Here is a 16,617-nt window from a genome sequence, read left to right as displayed (position 1 = left end):
CAATCCATTAAGTTTGTGGCAGAACGAGGACTGTGTGACTTGTAAGGACACAGAAAATGTATCTCCTGATACACCATTTCTCAGAAAGTGCCTTGGGTGATTCCTGATGAATAGGACTAAAAGTCGCTCTTCCCAGGCCCTGGATAAACAAAGTCAAAATCAAGGCACAGCCCACAGGTGGGAGCCAGGGAGGAGCCTGTGGGGGGTGGAGGGGGATTTGCACTCACTCAGCCTTGCCCTCCTCTCCAGGAAGTGCACACCTGCCCTGCCCTCCTCCCTGTGAAGGGCATGGGTTGGGGTGAAATCACCTGCTCCCTCCTCTGCTCAATGCTCCAGGTTGGAAGGGGCCGTGGGGCCCCTGTGCTGGTCACCTGATGCTCGGCCCCTCCTGCATCCGAACTGCACCTCCACCCGCCGGTCGCTGCTGACCTCAGCCCTTCAAAGCTGTCCTCCAGTTGGTCTGGGGCTGCCTCATCCTGCTGGGGTTCCTCCTCCCGCCCTCCTCACCTGCCTCTGCACCTGCCACAGGGCATCACCACTTGCGGGTGAAGCCAGCCTCCTGGGAGGGAGGCCCTGAGCTGATGGGTTGTCCACCGGTGCAGGCGCACAGGCTGGGCTCACACAGGCCCCAGGAGTCTGTGGCAATGCCCTGGAGTCCCCGGAGCCTGGCACTGTCTGGATATCCATGACGGCCACTCCTCTCCTCGGGCCTGAGCCTGCCCCACCCCGGAAGGGCTGCCCCCCGGGTCCCCTGTGGCTGGGCATCCAGACCCACTCTCCCCTTCATGTCTGATGTGCCCCCTGCCCCCAGGCACGTGCAGGAAGAAGCACAGAACGTGGCTGGCACCCGCCCTGAGGCCCGGCTCTGTTCCCATCTTCTCTTTTCCTAAAGAGCGGCAAGGGAGCCTGTGACCCGTGGCCACGTGGCTGCCCCCTTGGACCCGCGGCCGCTGGGTGATGGATTCCTGGCTGGCCAGAGGTTTCTTGGCCATGTGGCCTGGACAGCTGCCCCTCCCTTCATCTCGGGCCTCAAAGTCTCCAAGTGACGTGCAAAGGCAGTGGAAAATTATTTCGGACAAGGTTTTCACCAAGGTCGATATCATTTATTTTATTCCTTCTAAATTAGCCCTTTCAGCTGAAAACCTTTTGCAAGGATGTCCTAGACAGATGGAGACAGATGATGTTCTCACCCTCCACCCCCTGCAGGCTTCTCTCCCATCCTCTTTTCCTGTGTCCTGGGCTCCAGCACAGGTGCTGGGGCCTGGTGTGGACGATGAGCTTGTGGACGGCCAGTGTGCGGGCAGTAGGTCCCCATGACATAGCCTTCTCTGTGGGGGCCATTCTCATGACCTTGGGTCCTGGGCCTGTGGCCCCCAGTCCCCCGGCTCCCCAGCTGTGAGGCCATGCCCAGGCCATCTCTGAGAGAGTCTGCCGGTCTGACGGCCGGTGCTTATCAGGGGGGCTCTGAGGGGCCAGAGCTCACTGGGCAGCCTGCAGCCTCAGGCCTGTGCCCTGGGGGCCACGTCCATTCTGCTTTCGGAAGCTCCCAGGACCCTTACATCTAACAAAGAGCCTCATGTGTGGCTTTGGCCCACGCAGCGGGGGAGGCCAGAGAGCCTCCTCATGGCTCGACGTGGAGACCACAGCCCCTCTCAGCTCCAACAGCACCTGCACCCACAGGTCCTGTGTGGCCAGCTCACCTCCCAAGCTGGATGCAGACCCTCTCCTCACCACTGTTCCCAGACCCCTCTCACCCCACTCTCCAGAACCCCATCCACTCCCCTCCCTCTGAGAGGGCCTGGACCTGCCTGCATGGGGCCAGCCTTGCTGTCCCTTGGCCACAGCAGCTGAGCCTGCCCAGCCATGGAAGATGCCATCCTGGGTTCTCTGTCTCTCCTTTAGCCTCCTGGCTTAATTACATAGGCTGGACGGTGCTCTCAGCCCTCAGGAAGCCACATCGTGGCAGCTCTCAGCTCCACATTCCTGCAGGGGCCTCTTGTTTCCTCAGTGAGGTCATTCAGGAGTGGCAGGTCCTCTCCCAGGGGGTCTCACTGCACAAAAAGCAGTTTCTATGAGGATTACACAGAGATGCAGAGCAAATGCTGTCCCCCACATGCCAGCACAGGAGACCACAGCCTGTCCTGGGGGCACTTAGAAACCAGGGAGACCCTGGCCGTGCACGGTGGCTCACGCCTGTAATCCCAGCACTTTGGGGGGCCGAGGCAGGTGGATCACCTGAGGTCAGGAGTTTGAGACCAGCCTGGCCAACATGGTGAAACCCCATCTCTACTAAAAATATAAAAAATTAGCTGGGTGTGGTGATGGGCACCTGTAATCCCAGCTACTTGGGAGGCTGAGGCAGAATTGCTTGAACCCAGGAGGTGGAGGTTGCAGGGAGCCGAGATCGCGCCATCGCACTCCATCCTGAGCAACAGAGCAAGACTCTGTCTCAAACAAACAAACACAAAAACAAAACAAAACAAAACAAAACAAACAAAAAAAAAAAAGAAAAGAAAGGAAAAAAGAGAAACCAGGGAGATCCAGGGAGTCACAGCAAAGGCCCAGGGCAGAGGGGAGGTTTCCTTCTTCTGCCCTGCCCTGCTTACCCCCCAACCCCAGGAGGCTTCCTCAGGAAGCTACACCTGCTGTGCACACGCGGTCAGGACTGAAGGTCTGAAAAGGATTCCAGTGCTTAGCCGTGTGGCTGTTGCCTGGGAACATGGGACCAAGGTCAACCTCTCTGTGGACTTGTCCAGGTGCTAGAAGCCAGGTGAGCAGCAGAAACCTTTCTCCTCACAGACGCTCAGCGTGCCCTCTCTGCGGCATCTGGAATAAATCAGACTCTTGTGTCATTAATGTGACCGTGGGGTGTGTGGCTGTGGGAAGCTCCATCTGAGACCCCATCTGTCCATCCAAAACCCCATCTGTCTATTCAAGATGCTGTCTCCCTATCTGACACCACATCTTTCTGAAAACCCATCCGATCATCTCACTCATTTGTTCATATATGACCACACATGTCCCTCCAAGATTCCATCTGCCTACCTGAGACCCCATTAAGCCATGAGTGACCACATCTGTGCACCAAAGACTCCATCTGCTCATCTGAAGCCTCAGTGCCCATTCCTGGTCCTCTCTGTCCACCTGAGATCCTGTCTGTTCATCTGAGACGCCATCTGTCCATTTGAGACCCTATCTGTCTGTCCAAGAACCCATCTGCCCATGTGACCCCCTGATCTGTCATCTATGACTTCATCTGTTTATCTGAGATACCATCTGTTCATCTGAGACCCTATTTGTCATCTGTGACCCCATCTGTCCAGTTAAAACCCCAGCTGCTCATTCATAACCCCATATACCTACGCGAGAGCCCACTGTTCACCCGTGATCCCATCTGCCCATCATTGACCCAGTCGGCCCACTTGACACTTGTCTGTTCATCTGAGACCCCATCTGTCTGAGAACTCATATGTCCATCCCACTCCATCTGTTCATCTGAGACTGACCACTGAGATCCCATCAGCTCATCTGTGACCCCATCTGTTCATCTGAGATCCCATCAACTCATCTGAGATCTCATCAGTTCATCTGTGATCTCATCAGCTCATCTGTGACCCCATCTGTTCATCTGAGATCCCATCAACTCATCTGAGATCTCATCAGTTCATCTGTGATCTCATCAGCTCATCTGTGTCCCCATCTGCCCATCTAAGATCCCATCAGCTCATCCGTGTCCCCATCTGTTCATCTGAGATCCCATCAGCTCATCCATGTGCCCATCTGCCCGTCTGAGATCTCATCAGCTCATCCGTGTCCCCATCTGCCCGTCTGAGATCCCATCAGCTCATCCATGTCCCCATCTGCCCGTCTGAGATCCCATCAGTTCATCCATGTCCCCATCTGTTCATCTGAGATCCCATCAGCTCATCCGTGTCCCCATCTGTTAATCTGAGATCCCATCAGCTCATCCGTGTCCCCATCTGTTAATCTGAGATCCCATCAGCTCATCCGTGTCCCCATCTGTTCATCTGAGATCCTACCAGCTCATCCGTGTCCCCATCTGCCCATTTGAGATTCCATCAGCTCATCCGTGTCCCCATCTGTTCATCTGAGATCCCATCAGCTCATCCGTGTCCCCATCTGCCCGTCTGAGATCCCATCAGCTCATCCATGTCCCCATCTGCCCGTCTGAGATCGCATCAGCTCATCCATGTCCCCATCTGCCCGTCTGAGATCCCATCAGCTCATCCATGTCCCCATCTGTTCATCGGAGATCCCATCTGCTCGTCTGTGACCCCATCTGCCCATCTGAGATCCCATCAGCTCATCCGTGACTCTATCTTTTCATCTGAGATCCCATCAGCTCATCCGTGACTCTATCTGTTCATCTGAGATCCCTTCAGTTCATCTGTGACCCTATCTGTTCATCTGAGATCCCATCTGCCCATCTGAGATCTCATCAGCTCATCCATGACCCCATCTGCACATCTGCACATCCTATCAGCTCATCTCTGACCCCATTTGCTCATCTTAGACACCATCTGCCCATCTGAGATCTCATTAGTTCATCCATGATCTCATCTGTTTATTTGTGACCCCATCTGCCCACCTGAGACCCCATCCACCCATCTGAGAGCCCATCTGCTCCCCTGTGCTGGGGCAAATAACCCCAAGGCTGGATGCTCGAGTCAGGTCCCAAGCATGAGCTGCCTTCCCTGATTCATCTGCCTGTGCAAGGCCCTGGGGTTCATGGCTGGGCCCAGGTCTGCTCACAGGTCATGAGGTCATGGCTGGGTCCTGTGTGGGGTCACGGGGTCATGACGAGCTGGGACCACGGCCCAGGGTGACACCTGTCTCCTCTCTGACACAACATGCTTCAAACAGTTAGAAGGGGGCAGCCAGGTGACCTCAAGGCAGGGTAACACCTCAAGTTTCTTGGGGGTCTCTGAAGGTGGGAGGGGCTGTCAGCCATGCAGATTCCTGGGGCCCTTCCTTGGCCGCTGCTTCTGCAAGGCTGGGGTGAGGCCTAGAATGTGTGCTGCAAATGGGCCCCTGGTGGCTCTAGGCAGGCTCTTGATCTGGCTCGTTAGGTGCTGGGCTGGGGTTCAAAGCAGAGGCAGAAACCAGACCCTCCAGCCTGAGGGCTGAGGGCGCGTCTGGCTCTGCCCACCACATCTCAGGAGAGGAAAGGGCCCCACGCTGCTGGGGGCTTCCCACCTGAGTGGGGAGGAGCTGGGTGCTGGTGAGGCCCCTAAGGCAGCTAGAATGGCAGGCCCAGGACACTGGCCTCGGACGCTCCCGGGGGAGCAGTGTGAATATCACACAGGTTCTCTGCGATGTGGCACCCCCGTGAGCTGCCTTGCCCACCGGGAGCCTGATGTGTAAATGCACAGCCCCAGGCTGGCCGGGAGAGAACCCCAGCTCCCGTCTGACACCCCCAAGACACAGCACCAGCGGCTGGGCCCGCCCGCTCCAGCAACCGGGGCTCTCAGGCAGCAGGTTGGGGGCAGAGCGTGTGATATGGTTTGGCTCTGTGTCCCCACCCAAACCTTACCTGGAATTGTATTATAATAATCCACACGTGTCAAGGGAGAACCCAGGTGGAGGTCATTGAATCGTGGGGATGGTCTCCCCCATGCTGTTCTCACCATGGTGAGTGAGTCTCATGAGAGCTGATGGTTTTATAAGCGTCTGGCATTTCGCCGGCTGGTTCTCGTTTTGTCTCCTGCCACCCTGTGAAGAGGCACCTACTGCCATGACTGTGAATTTCCTGAGGCCTCCCCAGCCCTGCAGAACTGTGAGTCAATTAAACCTCTTTCCTTTATAAATCACCCAGTCTTAGGTATTTCTTATAGCAGTGTGAGAATGGACGAATACAGAGTGTGTCCTGGTTGGGGCAGGGCGGTCTCGGTGTGAGAACAGATGAACACAGCGTGTGTCCTGGGGGCGGGTAGGGTGGTCTCGGTGTGAAATGGATGAATACAGTGTGTGTCCTGGTTGGGCCTCCAACAAGGAGGCCTCCTCAGGGAGCTGCTGGGCCTCTGTCTGTAGCCTGGGGGAGTCAGTGCTCCGTCCTGGGAAGTCCAGCGGTTAGATTTTAGTTGCAGGTCCTGCCACACGGGAACACACTTCAGGGCTGGGCAGGGCTCTCGTCAGCTTTCCTCTTTTCCTCTGAAAACCGTGATGGAGAAAGTGATTTCAAATAACCTGGAATAATCTTGCTCTAATTTAGCACGCACTGTTAGGCTGGCAATTTCTTAAGAGGAACATGATTTGGTTCCACGTGAAATCTGCATTTGAATGAGGAGATAACTTACTCTGACCTCGGTGCTGGAGTCGGCACAGCGAGGCGGCCAACCTCCCAGCAGGACCCGCATCCCCACCCATCCCTGTTTCCAGGCCTGCTGGACTTCCGTGGTCAGTGTTGATGCGGGGCCACTGCTGTGAGTCTGGAGAGGACAAACGAGTGTGGAAGGGGCTTGGTGTTCTGTTCCCTAGAACGGAGCCATGGAGCTGCTGAGCCTGTAGAACGGAGCCATGGAGCTGCTGAGCCTGGTCCCAGAGGCAGTGTGGGGATCCAGATGCCAGTGCCCAGGACAGCACATCAGGACAGGAATCCTGACACCAGCCCCCGGGACCCCACATCAGTGTGGAGATTCAGACACCAGTGCCTGGGACCCCCACATCAGGACAGGAATCCTGACACCAGAGCCTGGGACCCCACATCAGGACAGGAATCCTGACACCAGCGCCTGGGACCCCCAAATCAGTGCGGGGATTCAGACACCAGTGCCCGGGACCCCATATCAGTGCAGGAATTTAGACACCAGCACTGGGACCCCAGCTGAATTGCCGTCCAGCCTGATAAAAGCATATGGGGGCGGCCTGCAACCTGGCAAGGCTGCTGCCTTTCCAGCTCCAAGCATCTGCCCCCTGCCCTCCTCCTCATCAGAAAGCATTGGGTGGCAGAAAGTCCCAGCCCAGCAGCCGGCTCCAGGCTGGGGAGGGAACCTGCAGCCCGGCCCCGCCTGTCCTGCGGAGCAGCTGTCAGTGGGGACCTCCCCCACCCAGAGCCACCGCCCTCCCTGCCTCGGAGGCCAGGCCCTCGGTCAGGCCAACAGCCCTGGCCCCACAGCAAGCGCATCGTGTCCTGGTCGATCTGTCCATCAAGTTTTTGTTCTCTGGGGACTTAGACCAGATTGAACTGGGAGTGCCAGCCCCTCTTCCTGTCCACCTGAGGCTCACAGCTGCCTGCTGGTGTGGAGGTGGGGGCTTAGGGCCCTTTGCACGGATGGGAACTCCCTCATTTCATGTGGTGGGGGTGGGCAGCTCTGTGGACAGAGGCCCTGAGAGCTGCTCGGGAGCGCTGACTGCCTCGCCCATGCCCTGAGGCTGTGCCCGCTGGTGCTGGGAGGAGCCCTGCCCCATCCACGATCTCTCCGAGCCATCACGGCCCCGGAAGCTGGGCTGAATGGGTCTCCAGGAAGGGCCAGGGAGGGTGGCTAAGCCTCTGCAGCATGGCCGGCCTTTGGGACCACCTGTCCACCCAGGGCCGGTTTCCTGGAGCTGGGGCTCAGCCACCCTCCCTGGCCCTGCTGGCTTGGGGAGATCGTGGATGGGGCCAGGCCTCTCCCAGCGCCAACAGGCACTGAGCTGGGAGGTGCAGCCTCGGGAGGCGGGCCCATGGTGGGGTCCTCGCTTCCTGGTCTGCTGAGGGCCCTCCAAACCGCACATGGCCCCTCTGGGGCTTGCAGAGCCTATACCGAGAGGACTCTCAGGAGAGGAACCCAGAGCTGGAGAAGAGAGTCCAGGCCAGACCCTGGAACCAGTGCTGCTGGTAGGTCCGCAAGGCGGTGGAGGCAGAGACTCAAGGAGAAACCTGCAGCAGGGCCCCCACCCCTGCTGTGGGGCAAGGTCCCTGCCAGGCTGGGCCGGCCTGAGGTGCCTCAGAAGGGCCTTTGTGCCAGGCACTGTCTGCCGTGTTGGAGGAGCTGGGCCGTTCCGTGGCTGTGGCCAACATGACCCTCACCATCAGTCAAGGGAAGAAGGACGTGAACAAGTCTCTCCAGGGTACATTGAGGTTAACACGCTGGCTTCTCCCTTCCCCTCGGCCCCCAGGGAGCTCAGGGGTGAATGAAGGCCCAGTCAGTCCCTGGGTTAGCTGGTTTGCCTATTGATTCAGAAGGATGAACGGGGCTGACGGGCGGCGGGCAGAGCCGGTAACTTCACAACCACCTGCGTTTGCACAGCAGAGCCGTGTGAATGAGCATCTGCTCCACGCCTCCCGGGAAGAGGCTGGACACTGGCATTCCTGGCGCAGAGGAAACCAACAGACTCTGGATCTGCTTTGGGAGGTGGACACGGAGGTTCTCACTCTGGGTAGAACTGGGGAGACAGGAGAGAGAATGCTCCTCTTTCCTGCTGCAGTCCCGTGTGAGTCCAGCCCCCGGGTTACAGGAGACGGGCTTCAGCGCGTGGTGATGGGGGCCTGGGGGCTTGGCTCCATGGCTGCTGCTCCCTGCGTGGGTGGGGTGGGGGTCCCGGGTGGGGTGTGGGGTCAGGGCTGCGGAGCTATGGAAAGTCTAGAGTCTGTGGAGCAAGCTCCGGAGTGGGGTGTCTGTTGCAGGCATGGCCCCGTCTTCTTCCTGTGTGACCCCCTCTCTGTGGATGCCCCTTGCTCCTCTGGACCCCGCTGTCCCCTCTCTGCTCACACATTTGACACCGGGGGTCCTGTCCTCTCTCACCCCATGCCCTGCGCCCAGGAGCATCCGGCTGAGGGAGGTGGGCAGCGGTGTCCTCCCCTCCTCTGCCTGCTGTTCTGGGAAAGCAGCTGGGGAAGGGCCTGTTTCTTGTCTGTCAGAACTGGAGGAAACCACCACATCAATGGATGATGAGAAAGGACAAGTAGACATGTTCAGGAGTATTTAAGCTGCTGTGAAGACGGGAATGTGAACGGCAGAGCTTTTGCATTTTCAGGACACAGGGAGGCTCTGTGTCCCTGGTGGGGTCGGCAGGGGTGAGGTCCAAGCCCACGTGTCCCACAGCTTCCTCCTGCTGCCTCCACCCTCCGGGCCACAGAGCTGCACCTGCAGGTGGGACCTGCAATCCGGAGCCTGGGCCCCTGTGGAGGCCGGGGCCTCTCTGCTGCCAGCTCTGCACCAGCAGCACCTCTATGGGGGGCACAGGTCGTGCGGTGCAGGGTGGGGTTCCCAGCAGCTGCCAAGAGCACTTCAGATGCCTGTACTCTGAGCCCGGGTCACGGGGCAGGAGCAGAGTCCCTGCTGCCTCTGAGCTGAATCAGGAACCGTCTCAGCTCAGGCTTCCTGGTGTGCAGTCGACATTCGGAACTTAGAGAAGAAAGTTCCCGCTCTGGCCCTGGTGAGCTCCTTCCTCTCTCCTGTCCACACGTGAGTGGCCTCTTAATCATTTGCCCGATGTTAGAAACAACTGAACAGAGCCAGTGGCTGGGTGCAGGGTGGCCTTGAGCAGGCCAGGGAGGGACAAGGCAGGAACAGGCCCCCGGGTCTGTGCTCCCTGCTGGGGGTTCAAATGCATCTAGCAGCTGGAGCTGACGCTTCCGAACTGTGGGCAAAAGGCCTCACTGAGCGACAGAGGCCACACCGGGAAGATGTCGCTGCTGCGGGTGGCGTGATGTCACTGACAGATGGCCCCGTCGATAAATATCAACATCAGCATCACAGTCTCTAGAGTTGGTTCTGCACTGACAGGCGGAGAGCCACGGTGCGTGCAGAGGCCGCTGCTCGCACAGCCGCACCTGAGAAGCCTGAGACGTAGCTGACGGGGCTACGCGCAGGCAGGAGCCGTGCTGCCGGCACCGTTGGCCGGTGACACTGGAGGGGGGCGGCTGAAGTGCGCGGTCGGCCTCTGCAGGGAGAGGACGTTACTTCGGGTGCAGGAGGCCACATGCTGGTCACGCGTCAGAATCTGAGAGCCTCGCACGGGCCGGGGGTGGGGGATGCTGGGCCCTGCAGTCCTGGAGCTGTGGCCAGGCGTCCATACCCCGGTCCTGACAGTGGGCAGTGGGGGCCCGAGGGCCGGGTGTGCACTGGGCAGGCTCTATCCCGAAGGACTCCAGGCGTGGACCACGTCAGAGCCGAGGTGGGGGCTGGCCAGAGCCAGCTGCAGGAAGGCAGCATCACAAGGTGGCTTCTGAGGCCCTGAGTAGAAAATAATCAAAATTCAGAACTGACAGAGACGGAGCGATGCACACAGGCCTCAGCGGATCGTGCTTCCCTGTGCTCCTGCATGGGGAGGCTTCCGGAAAGGTGTGACTGGAGGGGACACCTGCGGGGGCACCTGGAAAGGATGCCTGGGGGGACGCCTGGGAGGACACGTCGGGGGGACACTGAGACTCTTGGGTGGTGACAGCTGCTCCCCAAGAACTGCCCAACTCTGCCCAGGACGCCCTGGTCAAATCCTTTGGGATCGAGCTCTGAAGGAGAAAACCATCTCTGTGCTTGTGACACGGAAATAGTTGCATCGTTCTCAAATCTGTGACTCCTTGATCCAACCAAACCCTCGCTTTGGGGCTTTCCCAGCCACTGGTCTCTGAGGCGAGCCGAGCTCTCCAGACTTCTTCTCCAGGGAACAACAGAAGCTCCAGTTTGCTGGAGCTGCCCCCTTCCTGGTGACCGATTCCTGAGCCAGCCCCAAATCAGCCTCGTGCAGTACCCCCTGCATTCCGTTAGCCTGGGCACTGAACAATAATGCATGGAAGGCTTTTTTAAAAATTAATTTCAAGCTTCATTCCTTGATTTGAACTTAATTTGCTAAAGCAGTTTTCATTTGAAGATGCTCTCCTCCCATGAAAAAAGCAAAACCAAAAAAAAAAAAAAAAAGAGCTAATTTATCTCTGACATGAATAGAGCTTTGAAGAGTCCAGCGACTCAGCTGGGAGATGGGACAGGGCGGGAGGTGCAGGAGGAGCCTCCGAGTCCCTGATTGGGATGCACCTTATAGGCCACAGTGGCAGGGACCTCGACGCATGGAATTGCGTCTTCACTTCAATGGCAACTTTAATTAGTGCACATTTAGCTGGCAGTTTGGGAGCAGATTCAATTAAGTGCTCCGCCGGTTCTGAAGAGGCCTCATGCTGCTGAGAGTGCCAGGCATGGAGTTAGAATCAGGTGAAGGAGCTGTTTTCCTCGTTCGGGGGCCCAGGACCACCAGCATGGGGGCTATGCTACGGGCGGGGGAGAGCAGATGCCCCGTTCCGAGGTCCAAGAGCCTTTGGCGGTGGAGCAGGTCATGGAAGGGACTTGCTGTGAGAACCACCTGAGCAGCCCCAGCTGGCCCCCAGGCGGCTGTCATCAGAGTTTGAATTTCACTCCTCAAGATAACGCCCAAGCAGGCTGGACTTGCAGGAGACAGCTCCAGGAAGTCAGGAGGGCAGAACCCGGGTGGCTGGGCTGAGCACCAAGGCTGGAGACCACGCATGGGCGACTGTGACTGCCTGGCGGGAATCTTTCAGGAGACTCCTGCTTAAAAGAACAGCGAATGCCCCACTGTGTCCTGCGGCTTTGTCTTCCTTTTACTTTTGAAGCTTAACACATCCCTGCAGAGTAATCTAGAATGTCCTGGCATGTACGATTGCTCCAGGAAGCGAACACCTGCCAGGCGCCAAGTCCCTTGGGGCCGTCCTCGGGTGGGGAGCAGCGAGGCGCTTTCATGTGGAGCCTGTGGCGACTTTCTGTCTTGGGGAGGAGAGGAGTCACATGCACACCCGCTGTATACACTCACACATGCACACACAGATGCACACATGCATGCACACACAGGCACACACATGCACGCATGTGCACACATACACACACATGCATGTGCACACACATTCACATGCACACTCATGCACACATGCACACACGTATGCACACATACACTCAGATGCACACATGCAGTCACCTGCACTCACCCACGTGCGCACATGTGCGCACACATGCACACACATGCACACGCTCCCATGCATGTACACACACACTCACCTGCACTCACACACATGCACGCACACATTGTGATCGTCTTGCTCCCCCCAGAGGGCAGCTGAATGTAGTTTCTGAGTGAGTGGACCTTGGATGTTGGCTACCAGGGCCAGGCCTGGAGCTCCCGGTGAGCAGGACAGGGCTGCATGCAGAGAGGAAGCTTTCATGTGTTTTCTGAGCAGCAGGAAGGTGGGTGTTACCACAGCTCAGGGCACCTCAGTGTCTGGGCATGGACCAGCCCTGTGTCCTCAGTATCTCGGCGTCGACCAGCCCCGTGTCCTCAGTGTCTGGGCGTGGACCAGCCCCGTGTCCTCAGTGTCTGGGCGTGGAACAGCCCCGTGTCCTCAGTGTCTCGGTGTGGACCAGCCCTGTGTCCTCAGTATCTAGGTGTGGATGAGCCCCGTGTCCTCAGTGTCTCGGCATGGACCAGCCTCATGTCCTCAATCCACGGCTTGACTCCTCGTGTCACAGCTGATGTTTTCTCCCCACATTTCTGGGGCCTTAAGAGGTTCATGTGTTCGCCCCCAGGCCACTCAGAGAGCAAGGGACACAGGACATGATGAATCTTGATCTGATTCCGAGTCATCAGTCCGTGATGATTTCACAAATCCGGGACAGGACCACGGAGCAGGAGCAGACCAGGAGCTGGGGAGCAGTGACCTGACAGTGTGAGGGACGGCAAACCCTGGACAGGGCCACGGGGTGGGGGCAGATCAGGAGCTGGGGAGCAGTGAGCCGGTGGCCTGAGGGACAGCCAGATGCCCTGCGGTCAGAACGAGGGGCCCCTGCCTGGAGGACAAAGAGACATGGGGGCGGGGAAGGCAAGATCCAGGGCCAGGCCCAATTGTGAGTTGTTCTGACAAACGGGCGTTTCCAGCCAGCACAGGGGAGGCGCCACCCTGCACAGCCAAGCGTGGCTGCCGTGGCCTGGTGAGATCAGATCCGGGGCAGCGCCTTTCCAGCCCTGTCGGGCTGCAGCCTCCCTCTGGGCCGGCGGGGACCTGACTGTCCAGCTGAGCTGCCCGTCCCTCCCCTGCTGCCCCCATTTCCCGCCGTCCTTCCACTGACCGCCCTGAAAGTTCAGTGGGAAAGGGGAGCCGGGCTTTCCCCTCCTGGGCCCCTCCTGTGTGCAGCCTTGGCCTCACGTGTGACGATGGCTCAGCCTCCCCCGGCCTCAGATTCTGAGGCTCTAAAGCTGTCTCACGGCAAAATTTTAGAACATTGCCAGGAGAGAACATATCTTTTTCTCATTATGAAAAGCCAAAAAGTCACTGTTGAAGAATTTCATCCATTAAAAGTTTGCATTTGAATAAAATGAGCTTCTGTGTCTCATCTGGGCTTAGAGAAGCTGGGAGCTGGGAGCGGGAGCTCTTCCCTACCAAGGAGCTTGTGGCCGAATACTCAGATGGGCTTTCTCCGGAAAAGGCGCCTGAGAAGGACGACTGGAGGTCAGCGCCTATGATGACTGACCCCAACTCCCAGGGGCCTCAGGATGAGGCTCCCTGTGTGCACCCAGCTCCTACCTGGGATCAAGGTGTCTCCGGCCCGTTCATGCCTCCACCCTGCTGGACAGCGCCCACCTCCACCCACCCGAGGCAGGGTGAGTCCCCCTGTGTTGTGCTGTGGTGGGTGGGGCAGGCATAAGGCCCCAGTCCCTGGGGCAGGGTGGTGTTAGGATGCTGCTGTGGGGCTCAGCTTCAGGCCCCAGGGAGGGGAGGCAGGGGAGGGAAGCAGGGGGCCTGGGGGTCTCCAGTCCCCACGTTCACAAGGAAGGTCACAGCCCCCACCGCCTGGCTGCTGTCCCTGACCCCAGACTCCCTCAGGTCTTCCAGCTCCACCTCCCCAACCCACCCACTGGCCAAGGAGACCTCAGGGCAGGTGGGGCAGCCTGGACAGCACCCGGAGGATGGTCAGCTGTGTTGATCAACGCCCACGTGAGCGTGGGCCGTGACTTCCCACCAGGTCCCTGAGTGGAGGAGTTCTGCGACGCTGCAGCCTCATGCCTGCTCCTTGGGCCAAACCTGACCTTCCCCAGGCCTCTCCAAGGTGTCTGGGCTCCAGGGTCACAGGGTCAGTGCGCATGACATGTGGCCCAGAACTCAGTGCAGTGCAGTGTCCCGGCCCAGGGGGAGCTTCCAGGCACAGAGGTGTCCAGGCAGGGAAGTTTCCAGGCAGGAGGGCATCCAGGCAGGGAAGTTTCCAGGCAGGGAAGCTTCCAGGCAGGAGGGTGTCCAGGCAGGGAAGTTTCCAGGCAGGAGGGCGTCCAGGCAGGGAAGCTTTCAGGCAGGAGGGCATCCAGACACAGGGGCATCCAGGCAAGGGGGTGTCCAGACACAGGGATGTCCATTCAAGGTGTGTCCAGGCAGGGGGGCATCCATCCAGGCCGGTCTCAAGGATGCTGACGTCCAGGCTTTGTCCCCTGCCTGCCGCAGAGCTGGACAGCACGCTTCCCTGTCCTGAACCCGGACAGAAGATTTCACTTTGACTCCAGAGGGCTCCAGTTGAGCTGGAGGTGTTTAGAGAGCTGCCAAAGCTCCCCCTCAAATTTCTCTCAGGGGTTCGAGGAGCTGCAGGGGACAGCGATCTGTGTCAGCATCGGGGAGCCGTGGAGCCGCCATCTCCCTCGCGACCCAGCTCCGGCCGTGGCCCGGGATTGATGACACGCTCAGTGAGAGGGAAAATTACATTTTCAGGATGTCTGCCAGGGCTCGCTTTGATAAATGTTTAAAAATGTGCTAATATGCTCTATTTAGCCATCTTTATTACAGTCACTGTCAGGGAATCGGCTCAGTACCCTTCCTCCAGAGCGCAGCTCCACGGCACTGAGGTCTTTCAGAGCTGAGCAGCCCACCTGCCCCCCAGGGGAACTTGGCTCCCTCCAAGGTGGGAAAAGTCCCTTGTGAGCCTCCAGCCGCTCTGGGTAGAACTCAGCCCCTCGGGCCCCCAAGGTGTGGCCAACTGTTGGGCTGTGCTCAGGGTGCAGGTCACTCCACATAAACTGGACGGCCCCACAGCAAGAGCCTCTGGGGCAATGTCACAGGAGACCTTGGAGGGTCAAGGGGATGCTGGTGTCATCCTCACCGAGGCCGGCTGGATGCTGGCTTAGAAACCGCCAGGCAAAGAGGCAGTCAGGTCGGAGGAAACAGTGTTCTCATCTGACCCGGAGCTCCTGGTGCTTGTCCACATGAATGTGGTGTGGCCTCGTTAGACAGGGCCACAGGCCACAGGGCCACGGAAAACAGGGCCACCAACGGTGGGGAGCCTGGTGCAGACGGCAACGTTTCCTTCTGTGTCTTCACAGCTCTGCACCCAAACATCTCACACAGGGAGTCTCAGAGCTCAGAGTCCCCATATGAGGACAGGCTGCATCATGTGGGACACCCTGCGTGTCCCCACAGACCCTGCCCATCCCCACGGACCCCAGCCTTCCCGGACCCAGCCTTACCGGACTCTGCCTTCCCAGACCCTGCCTTCCCGGACCCATCCCGGACCCAGCCTTCCCGGACCCATCCCGGACTCTGCCTTCCCGGACCCTGCCTTCCCGGACCCAGCCTTCCCGGACCCATCCCGGACTCTGCCTTCCCGGACCCTGCCTTCCCGGACCCAGCCTTCCCGGACCCATCCCGGACTCTGCCTTCCCGGACCCTGCCTTCCTGGACCCTGCCTTCCCGGACTCAGCCTTCCCGGACCCTGCCTTCCCGGACTCTGCCTTCCCGGACCCATCCCGGACCCATCCCGGACTCTGCCTTCCCGGACCCTGCCTTACCGGACTCTGCCTTCCCGGACCCTGCCTTCCCGGACTCAGCCTTCCCGGACTCAGCCTTCCCGGACCCTGCCTTCCCGGACCCATCCCGGACCCTGCCTTCCCGGACCCTGCCTTCCCGGACTCAGCCTTCCCGGACCCTGCCTTCCCGGACCCATCCCGGACCCTGCCTTCCCGGACCCAGCCTTCCCGGACTCAGCCTTCCCGGACCCTGCCTTCCCGGACCCTGCCTTCCCGGACTCAGCCTTCCCGGACTCAGCCTTCCCGGACCCTGCCTTCCCGGACCCATCCCGGACCCTGCCTTCCCGGACCCTGCCTTCCCGGACCCAGCCTTCCCGGACCCTGCCTTCCTGGACCCATCCCGGACCCTGCCTTCCCGGACCCTGCCTTCCCGGACCCAGCCTTCCCGGACCCTGCCTTCCTGGACCCATCCCGGACCCTGCCTTCCTGGACTCTGCCTTCCCGGACCCTGCCTTCCTGGACCCTGCCTTCCCAGACTCCTGCCAGGTGCCCTGCTAGAAAGCTGCCGGCCCTTGGGGAGTTGGAGGTGAGGGTTTCACAGGGTGCACGTGTCCAGGACCAGGCGTGGTGGGTGGGGTGGGCTGCCGTGAAGGAGCCCCTCCCAGGAGGATGGGTCTAGGGTCCCCCCACCCCTGAAGGGAGCTGGACCCGGGGCTGAGGGTTGGCAATGCTGGCCCCGTTCCCTTTCTTGATCCCTGAGAAGGCCAGAGAGAATGGCCCAGCCCTGATCCTTGCTCCGCTGGTTTGTGAGGAAGTGAACCTCCTTTTTCTTTTCTTTTGTTTTTCATGAGACAGAGTCTCTGTCACCCAGGCTGGAGTGCAGTGGTGCCATCT

General features: G+C 59.2%; 1 annotated feature.

Moving 5' to 3' along the window:
• Nucleotides 6,523–7,146: an enhancer, noted in NCBI's record as "H3K4me1 hESC enhancer chr10:134863995-134864618 (GRCh37/hg19 assembly coordinates)". NCBI's record gives its function as "activates a minimal SCP1, AML or CMV promoter by ChIP-STARR-seq in naive and primed H9 embryonic stem cells {active_cell/tissue: H9 hESC(naive and primed)}" and the evidence as "EXISTENCE:reporter gene assay evidence [ECO:0000049][PMID:30033119]".

Source organism: Homo sapiens, chromosome 10 (genome assembly GCF_000001405.40).
Source record: "Homo sapiens chromosome 10, GRCh38.p14 Primary Assembly".
NCBI lineage: Eukaryota > Metazoa > Chordata > Mammalia > Primates > Hominidae > Homo > Homo sapiens.
The sequence above is the reverse complement of the archived record's forward strand: the minus strand, read 5'-3'. Positions and strand labels throughout refer to the sequence as shown.